Source organism: Homo sapiens, chromosome 7, assembly GCF_000001405.40.
Source record: "Homo sapiens chromosome 7, GRCh38.p14 Primary Assembly".
Lineage (NCBI taxonomy): Eukaryota > Metazoa > Chordata > Mammalia > Primates > Hominidae > Homo > Homo sapiens.
The window spans coordinates 73,891,627-73,901,414 of NC_000007.14; the positions used below are offsets into that span (position 1 = coordinate 73,891,627).

Consider the following 9,788-nt stretch of genomic DNA (forward strand, 5'->3'; position numbering starts at 1 on the left):
TTCCACCATCATCTGCCTGGACCGCATGGATGACGCCTTCCCTAGGTCATTCTGACCATGACCTTGTCCCGCCTAATCCCCTCAGTTTCCTATCGTTTACACAATATAATCCTTGCTGCTGACCCCGGCCGTCCACGCCTAGGCCTCCTCCCCTCTGTCTGCTAGCTGTTCCTCCAGCCCCTCCTGCAGCACCGACCCTATCTCTGGCCTTCACTGGGCTCCTCCTCAGACCTCACATCCCAGCTTAGCAGGCAGTAGCCTGCCTCTTTCCTCCTCAGGCACCCCACTTGGACTTGGGGGCTCCTAAGCCATGGCCAGTATCTGGGCAGCCCTGAGCCAGTCCTCAGAACCCTGCTGCAGGAGTGGCTGAGCTGGCAAGAGTCACTGTGTGATCTGGCCACAGCCAACATCCCGTGTCCCTATTGTATTGATGAGGCCACTGAGGCCCGGGGAGGGGAAGGGACAGTTTTGAGGTTACACAGGCAGTTACAGCTCACCCCCGTAGCCTCTCATTCTTCTTTGCCATTGCAAAGAAGAATTTTTTTTTTTAAAATAGATATGGTATCTCAATCTCTGACTCAGGCTGGAGTGCAGTGGTGTGATCATAGCTCCCTGTAGCCTCAAACTTCTGGGCTCAAATGATCCTCCCACCTCAATCTCCTGAGTAGCTGGGACTGCAGGGTCGTGCCACCACGCCGGCTAATTTTCTTTCTTTCCTTCCTTCCTTCCTGCCTGCCTGCCTGCCTTCCTTCCTGCCTTCCTGCCTTCCTGCCTTCCTTTTCTTTTCTTTTCTTTTCTTTCTTTCTTTTTTCTTCCTTTTTCTCTTTCTTTCCCTTTTTCTTTTCTTTCCTTTTCTTTCTTTCTTTCTTTCTTTCTTTCTTCCTTTCTTTCTTTCTTTCTTTCTTTCCCTTTCTTTCTTTTCTTTCTTCCTTCTTTTCTTTCTTTCTTTCTTTCTTTCTTTCTCTCTTTCTTTCTTTTTTTTTTTATAAGAGATGGGATCTTGCTATGTTGCCCAGGCTGGTCTCAAACTCCAGGTCTCAAGTGATCCTCCTACCTCAGCCTCCCAAAGTGCTAGGATTACATGCATGAGCCTAGCCTGTAATTTTCCTTCTGTTGATCTGTGACTGTCTCTACGTAGGGTCACTTGAGTGGGCTTCACAGAGGCCTTGCTTGGGGGGCAGTACACCTCTTCCAGGAAGCCACCACGATTTCTCTCCACTCCCCGGCTCTCTGAGCCATGCACATTGGCTGCCTTCCAGCTGTCCTGGAATCATGCCTGGCTCACGTTCCTACGAGCATCAACATCTGAAGCTGAATTCCACTTTCACCTCTGATGCTCTATGAACTTGGCAAGGCCTTGTCCCTTTTTCCCCCACTTTACCCATTTATAGAATCAAGGCATTGAACCTGCTGATTTTAGAGGTGCTGCTGTGGAATTAGGGTTTCGGTCAGGGAGGCTGAGCCCAGAGTCTTGGTGGACTCCGACTACCAGCACAAAGTGTAACTGCAAGAATTGAGCTGGGGAGGCAGCAATCCTGGGTGAGAATCCTGCATCAGCACTTGATAACCGTGTGGCCCCCAGCAAACTGCACGTTGGGCCCCAGTTTCCTATAAAATGGGGGAAACCAGCCAGACCGGGTCTCCATCAGGTGTTATTAAATACGATCGTGGCTTCGAAGGTGTTTGCTAAGTTAAACAGAGCCAAGCAGGAGGATGTGCAGCATGGGTCACCTACAGCACCCCATGCAGCATCGGGTTCAGGCAGATGACCACACGTGGCACCCTGCCGAGGGAACGTGGCAGGTGTCTGGATGCGGCGTCCCCAGGCGACTTGTGTGGGCAGTATTCCTGGCAGTGCATGCTGCGTTCCCAGCCGGTCCCACTGCTGGGCCGGGACAGCCCCCGCAGGAGGAGGCTGGGCTCCCCCTGCAAAACCATCCGTTGATGGGAGGGGTGGGGGGCCACCTGGCCCTGGCCCAGCCTGGCTAGCCTCCCATCCCATGTTTTGTTCACAGAGTTTGGAATGTCCTGGGACACAGAGCTCGGCTCCCTGGGGGGGACACTTGTGCCATTGCCTTGATCTCATCGCTGGACAGGTTTCTCCTTCATTCCAGCCCAGGACTCGGCAGGCTCCCAGCTGCAGCTGCTGCCAGGCCCAGTCCGTCTGTGTCTGTCCCAGCGCTGGCAGCCAGGAGTGTGCAGCTGGGAGTGGAGGGCTTCCCAGGGGAGGCTCCCCCAGCCCGTCTGCGTGGGCCCTGGGCACGCCTCCCAACTGGATCTCCCCAAGCCACTGCCAGCTGACCCTCTTCACAGACTCCTTGGTCTGTGACCTCAGACTCTGGGGCCCCAAGGGTAGTTTGGAATGATGTTCTCAGGACCCGGGGACTTGGGAAGGGCCAGAGCGTGCCAGCTGCCCTGGTTTCTGTTCCCCTTAGCAGGCCAAGCTATGCCCTAGAATGGGGCTCTGCCAAGTGTGTTGGGGAACAGGTGTTGTATATATTCTGCATGCACATGTGTGTAGAATTTCCCTGAACTCCCAGTGTTAAATATCCCTAGATTTGGGAGTGACATATAAGGTTGATTAATGGCAGGGTGAGGTTGGGGTGGAGGGCTAAGGAGGCTAGGGTCCTTGTTCAGGAAGGAGCCCATCCTTACCTGGAATGTATATTCCTGCTGCACCTGGCTCACTCTATCATGTGCCAGTCTGGGATGGCTGGGTACTCTACACCTTGACTTGGTCCTGTATGTCCAGCCACCGGCTGGAGAGAGGGGAAGCAGGGCTGGTCTTGTCGTCAGAAACATGGAAAGGTCTGAGCATGTGTGTTCATATGCATGAATATGCATTATTCTTGAGATCTCAGCTCTGGAAGGAGATCGATCCTTACCTGGCCACGGTATGCGCCTGGTGTGCCTAGCTCCCACCGTCTGCTGCTTTGAGATGGCTCAATAATGGTGCCTCACCTGGGCCCACCTGGCTGGGATATAGAGCCAGGGCACCACGATAAAACCAAGAGGAATAGTGCCTGGGGGAGATAGAGCCGAGGATGGTCCGCCGTGGTGTGTCCTTAGCATGGGCAATTCCTGCCCTGATGTAGGTCAGTATCCGCCTCAGGCTCGGGCAAACTCTTGTCTTTCCACATCATTAATGAGGAGACTAAATAAATCAGTCCCTCTGGAGGGCCCCCCAGCCCCTCAGGCAGCCTGGCTGAAGCTATTAATATTCCCCGTGTTTATGACCCCTTGGCCCTGCTGCCAGACTCCTCTCTAGCCATTGAAATTAATTTTGTGAATCAGAAAGAGGGGGAGTACAGCCTGTTGGAATCCAGGACGATGACATTTCCACCTCCCCCCTGTGGTGAGTCCCACTCACTAATTCTATAAAGCAGTCACCGGGCCAGCCCAGCCTAGGGCCGCCCGCCTGGCTGGGGCTGCCTCATGCCTCTGCTATGCTCTCCCCACAACCCCCAGGGAGGGGGGCTGGCCCCAGCCCCGATGATTCAGGCCCCCTGACACCTTGCACTGATGTCAGTGGGAATGGAGACCTCAGGCCCCAGGACCTCCTGGCCTGTTGCCTGCGCCCGCGCCCTGCACGGGGGTTGGCCCCGGCTCGTGCCTCTCGTGACCTTCCCATGGATGGGGCCTGGCTGGGAAACGAGGCCAGGCCAGACGGCCTCTCCCTCATGCTGTCCCCTTTCTGAGAGCTGCCCAAACTGGCGCCGGGCCGTCCCTTGGCCTCCTTGGGTTTCGAGGACTCATTCTAAAATTAATTTGGGGGAATTCAGGGAATTTGTGAGCAAGTTCCCAGAGAACTGTGGCTGCCCTGGGGGCAAGTGTCTCTCCTTCCTCCCACCCTCCCCCACTTTAACTTCCCCAATTTCCTATATGAGCAGATCCTCTTTGGGTAAACTCATTCCACAAAGGGCAGGGCAGGATGCCTGCATGCTGTACATTGGGGTAGGCTCTTTCCCCCTCCACCCCCACTATGAAGAAGTTTCCAAGAAGAGCTTTTCATTTAACATAGTCTCAAGTCATTTAAGATAAGATTTGCAAATATTTTCTCTCATTCTGTGGGTTGTCTTTTTCATTTTCTTCATAGTGTCCTTTGAAGCACAAAAGTTTTCAATTTTGATGAAATCCAATTTGTCTATTTTTTCTTTGGTTGCTTGTACTTTTGGCATCATATCGAAGACACCATTGCCAGGTCTAAGGTCACGAAGATTTACCACGATGTTGCCTTTTAAGAGTTTTCTTGTTTTAGCTCTTACATTTAGATCTTCACTCCATTTTGAGTTAATTTTTATATATGGTGTGAGGTAGGGGTCAAACTTCATTCTTTTGCATGTGGATATCCAGTTGTCTCACCACCATCTGTTAAACAGACTATTCTTTCCCCACTAAATGGTCTTGACACTGCTGTCAAAAATCAATTTACCACAATTGTAATGGTTTATTTCTCAATTCGATTCTATTGATCTATATGTCTATGTTTATGCCAGTAACACATTGTCTTAATTACTGTAGCTTTGTAGTAAGTTTTGAAATTAGGAAGTGTAGGTCCTCCAAATGTTCTTTTTCAAGATTGTTTTGGCTATTTGATGTTCCTTGAAATTCCATCTGATTTTTAGAATGGATTTTTTCCATTTTTGCAAATACACCACTGGGATTTTGATAGGCATTGCATTGAATCTGTTTTTGGTAGTATTGTCATCAGCTTTGGGTAGAATTGTCATCTTAACAATAACAAGCCTCTAATCCACAAACATGGGATGTCTTTCCATTTATTTAGATCTTTAATTTTTTAATGATATTTTGTAGCTTTCGGTGTACAAGTATTATGCTTCTTTTAAAACATTTTTTCCTAAGTATTTTATTTTTTGTTGCTACTGTAGATGGAATTGTTTTTTCTTAATTTCTTTTTTGGATTGAGTCATTGAAAGCAGAATTTGGCCTAAAGTATCAACATAAGTGTCATTTATGACTCAGCTTGTCAAGACTCCACTTGCATGAAGTGAGATCCACCTGTGACACTTAGCCTGGGTCAGTTGCTAACTGAGGTCTGCTCTATGACCCCATTTCCTGGCCTGGCCGCTGCTCAGATCCTGGCCTCTAAGGGAACATTTAAATTCTTAATCCTAAGTCTCCCTGCCTGCAGTGTCTCTCTGCTTGAGCCAATCTCCTCCCTCCTGCTCAAATAATTCTTCTAAACCTGATTGTGTCACTTCTCTGCATAAAGCTGCCAACAGCTCCCCATCATCTTATCCACAAGAAAATTCTGAGCTCTTTGGCCTTGTGTTTAGGACCCTTCATCCTTATTGAAGGCTTCAGTCTTTCAGCCAGCTCTGTAGGCCTTCTCCACTGAGATGTCCCAGATGTTGGAAAGTCAGGTTCAAAGGAGACTCGGTGACTGCCCCAACCTCAAGCTCCTCTTCCACTGTCTTCATCTCCACCTGCACCATCTCCATCCTCCTGCTTCCCCACAGGAACACAGCTCTCTTCCTAGATGCCTCCTTTTCCCACCTCACCTCCCTATACCTCATTATCAAGTTTAAATTTTTAAATTGTTTAAAAAGAAGTGCAAGACTTGTGCACCAAAAGCTACAAAACATCATTGAAAGAAATGAAAGATCTAAATAAATGGAAAGACATCCCATGTTCATGGATTGGAAGGCTTATGATTGTTAAGATGCCAATTCCACCCAAAGCTGACTTTACCTCCTAAAGCCCTCCTATGCCTGTGCCCTCTTCTTTACCTACTGCCACTTAGTTTAGATTTTATCTTGGCCTGATCACAGGCTACCAGAGTGATCTTTTTTTTTTTTTTGAGATGGAGTTTTGCTCTTGTTGCCCAGGGTGCAGCGCAATGGCATGATCTCGGCTCACTGCAACTTCTACCTCCTGGGTTCAAGTGATTCTCCTGCTTCAGCCTCCTGAGTAGCTGGGATTACAGGTGCATGCCACCACGCCTGGCTAGTTTTTGTATTTTTAGTAGAGACGGGGTTTTACCATGTTGCCCAGGCTGGTCTCAAACTCCTGACCTCAGGTGATCCTCCTGCCTTGGCCTCCCAAAGTGCTGGGATTACAGGTGTGAACCACTGCACCTGGCCGTCCACTCCCTTTTTTTGTCCTCACTCCTCTGCCTGCCCCCATGTGCCCTGCATCCCATGCTCCTTGCTGGTCCTTCTGTGTCGGGGAGCAGCATGGTGGAACCCCCCACTGCCTCTTCCTAGGCTTCCTTTGGGCTCCTCCTACCTACTTGCCCCTTCCTGCTCACCTTCTCTCCAGGACCGGGTTCAGCTCTCCAGCCTCCACCGCACGGGCTTCCAGTCCAGCCTGCTGCCACACAGGCTCTGGGGGTTCATTCTTCTTTTTTTTTTTTTTTTTGAGTCAGAGTCTTGCTCTGTCTCCCAGGCTGGAGTGCAGTGGCTAGATCTTGGCTCACTGCAACCTCCATCTCCCAGGTTCAAGCAATTCTTCTGTCTCAGCCTCCTGAGTAGCTGGGATTACAGGTGCCTATCACCACACCCGGCTAATTTTTGTATTTTTACTAGAGACAGGGTTTCACTGTATTGGCCAGGTTGCTCTCAAACTCCTGACCTCAAGTGATCTTCCCACCTCAGCCTCCCAAAGTGCTAGGATTACAGGCGGGAGCTACCCATCCCGGCCTCAGGGATCCATTCTAAAGCATCAAGCTTGTGATTCTTAGTGACCAGTCTCCCCTACTTGACTGGGAACTCCTTGAGGAAAGACATTCAGTTAGCTTTTCTTTTTTTCTTTTTTTTTTTTTTTGTCAGACAGAATCTCGCCCTGTCACCCAAGCTGGATTGCAGTGGCACAAACTCAGCTCGCTGCAACCTCCGCCTCCTGGGTTCAAACGATTCTCTTGCCTCAGCCTCTCGAGTAGCTGGGATCACAGGTGTGGACCACCATGCCCGACTAATTTTTCTATTTTTAGTAGAGACGGGGTTTCACCATGTTGGCTGGGCTGGTCTCAAACTCCTGACCTCAAGTGATCCTCCTGCCTTGGCCTCCCAAAGTGCTGGGATTACAGGAGTGAGACATGGTACCCGGCCTCAGTTGGCTTTTCTTAGGATCCTTAGAACCTGGCATGTGCCTGGCCCAAGGAGGTGCTTGATCTAAATTCAGTTTTAAAACTGAATTCTGGCTGGGCACTGTGACTTACGTCCAGCACATAAGTCTGGGCATAATCCTGACCTGTAATTCTAGTGCTTTGGGAGGCCGAAGCAGGAGGATCACTTGAGCCAGGAGTTGGAGACCAGCCTGGGCAACACAGTGAGACCCTCATCTCCACAAAGAATTTTAAAAATCAGTTGGGCATGGTGGTGCATGCCTATAGTCCCAGCTACTGGGGAGGCTGAGGTGGGAGGATCACTTGAGCCCAGGAGTTTAAGGCTGCAGGGAGCTGTGATCACACCCCACTGCACTCCAGCCTGGGTGACAGAGCAAGACCCTGTCTCTAAAAAAATTTAAAAAATTGAATTCTTTGAAAGATGACTTACTCTTTGCTTTCTTTTCGCCTAGAGATGAGACATCCCTAAGAGACACAAGGGTAGCCTGCTGTCAGGGGAGTATATGATTTTGTTTGTTTGTTTGTTTTGAGACAGAGTCACTCTGTAGCCCAGGCTGGCGTGCAGTGGCATGATCTCTGCTCACCGCAACCTTCACCTTCTGGGTTCAAGTGATTCTTCTTCCTCAGCCTCCGGAGTAGCTGGGATTATAGGCGCTCGCCACCATGCCCAGCTAATTTTTGTATTTTTAGTAGAGGCAGGGTTTTGCCATGTTGGCCAGGCTGGTCTCAAACTCCTGACCTCAGGTGATCCACCTGCCTCGGCCTCCCAAAATGCTGGGATTACAGGTATGAGCCACTGCACCCGGCCGAGTGTATGATTTTGGATTGTTGGGGAATGTGTTTGTATTATCAGTAGGGTAGATCCTTCTGGGAAGGGGTGTAGATATTGGGGGCTGGGGACAGGCAATGGAAACCTGCCCTCCTCTGGACAGCAATGTTGTGACCCAGTGGCAGGAGTGTTCCTTCATTCTGTGTCCCATCCCTTTCTTGTGGCCCTAGCATCCTGGGCACCCCATCACATGAACCTCTTTGTACGGTCTAGCTTGGTGCCTCAAACATGCACACCAGGCCCGGCCCCCGGCAGCTGGCTACGCAGGCTTGGAGGAAGCCACCCGTCCTCGTCGGGGTCTGAGCTCCAAGCCATACTTGGTTCCCGTCTCCGCCCCACGGTGCCTCCTGCCAGCGCCTAATCGCTTCCATCTGCCCCACTGACTCACAGGGCTGTCAAGGTTCTAAAAATTTCCAAATTCCTCCCCACCCTGCCCTTCCAGGATATTTCTCCAGCTCAGGCCCTTCAGCAGCTCTACCCACCAGCTGCTCCTTCTCACGTGGGCACACGGAGTCAGGAAGTGAGTGGCAGAGAGGGGCTTCTCCGACAGGCTGTGCAGGAAAGGCCTCTGGACCCCTCTTCCCCTCAGAGGAGACTATGACAGCAGCAGAGAACATGAAAGTTGAAAAACGGGTCGAAGGAACCAAGGAGAAAACCTATCCATTTTACAGACGGGGAAACTGAGATTCAGACCCAGTAGCAGACCAGGGTGGAGAATCCGGGCCTTGGGGCTCTGATCTAGGGCTGTCCTCTGCTGGGAATCCCCTGTACACCCCCAGCTCTCCCTTTGGGCCTCAGGAAATGCAGCATCAGCCCTGGTCCTCCCTTCCCCGGGGAGCAGAGCCACTTGGTGACCAAAAGGGGTCTCTGTATACCTCCCACGCCCCTGGCCTCTGCCCAGCCTGCTTCCCCCTCCCCACTCTCCCCCAGGACATAGCCTGAAGAAGTGTTTGTACCTAAACAGTATTTCCAGGGCAACTTGCATTCCCCAGGGGGTGGGTGGTGAGAGGCTTGGGGGAGGAATTGCTCCAGCTGCCACAGGCCCTGTGACCCGCAGCCCCTCTCGGTTGACGGGACTTGGGGCCTGGAAGCTGGTCTCACCCTTGATGTTGGAGAGGGCCTGAGGATGGATGCATGAACCACCCGGCTTCCTTGTATAATGCATCCTTCATGGATGAAGTGTGTGAGTGGGTGGGGACAGAGCCCAGAAGTTTCCTGAGCCCAATGAGGAACAGCAGCCCCCAGGGTACCCCCTTTCTTCTCCTGCTCCTCAGGGAGAGTGTCAAAGCCGGGACCCCCATCCTGGCAGTCCCTCCCCCGCATACACTGCCTCTTTCGAAGAGTCAGAGTCTTGCTTTGTCCTCCAGGCTGGAGTGTGCTGGTACGATCATAGCTCCCTGCAGCCTCAACCTCCTGGGCTCAGGTGATCCTCTCGCCTCAGCCTCCCCAGTAGCTGGGACTACAGGTGTGCACCACCACACCTGGCTAATTAAAAATTTTTTTTTTTGCAGAGATGGAGGTATCGCTATGTTACCCAGGCTGGTCTCAAGATCCTGGGATCAAGCCATCCTCCCAGCCTCTGAAGGCGTGGGAATTACAGGCCAGAGCTACCGTGCCCGGCCTCCCTGTTATTTCTCGGATGAAATCCTGCCCTGTTGGTGACACTTTCCAGGCTATGGATGGCAGTGCCTGTCTACCCCTCCAGTCCTTCTTCCTGCCATACGTGCCACACAGCTGCTCACAGACAGTCCCCACCCCTGCCCCACTGCCAGGCCTCTACCTAGCCTCTTCCCCATTCAAGCCCAGCTAGAGGGTCAGGCTTCCTCCTCCAGGAAGGCCTCCTTGGGCTGCCAGAGAGAGCTGCTCACCACC

At 51.5% G+C, this 9,788-nt stretch overlaps 1 annotated feature.

Annotated features, from left to right (window-relative positions):
- Nucleotides 7,731-8,404: an enhancer, noted in NCBI's record as "H3K27ac-H3K4me1 hESC enhancer chr7:73313687-73314360 (GRCh37/hg19 assembly coordinates)". NCBI's record gives its function as "activates a minimal SCP1, AML or CMV promoter by ChIP-STARR-seq in primed H9 embryonic stem cells {active_cell/tissue: H9 hESC(primed)}" and the evidence as "EXISTENCE:reporter gene assay evidence [ECO:0000049][PMID:30033119]".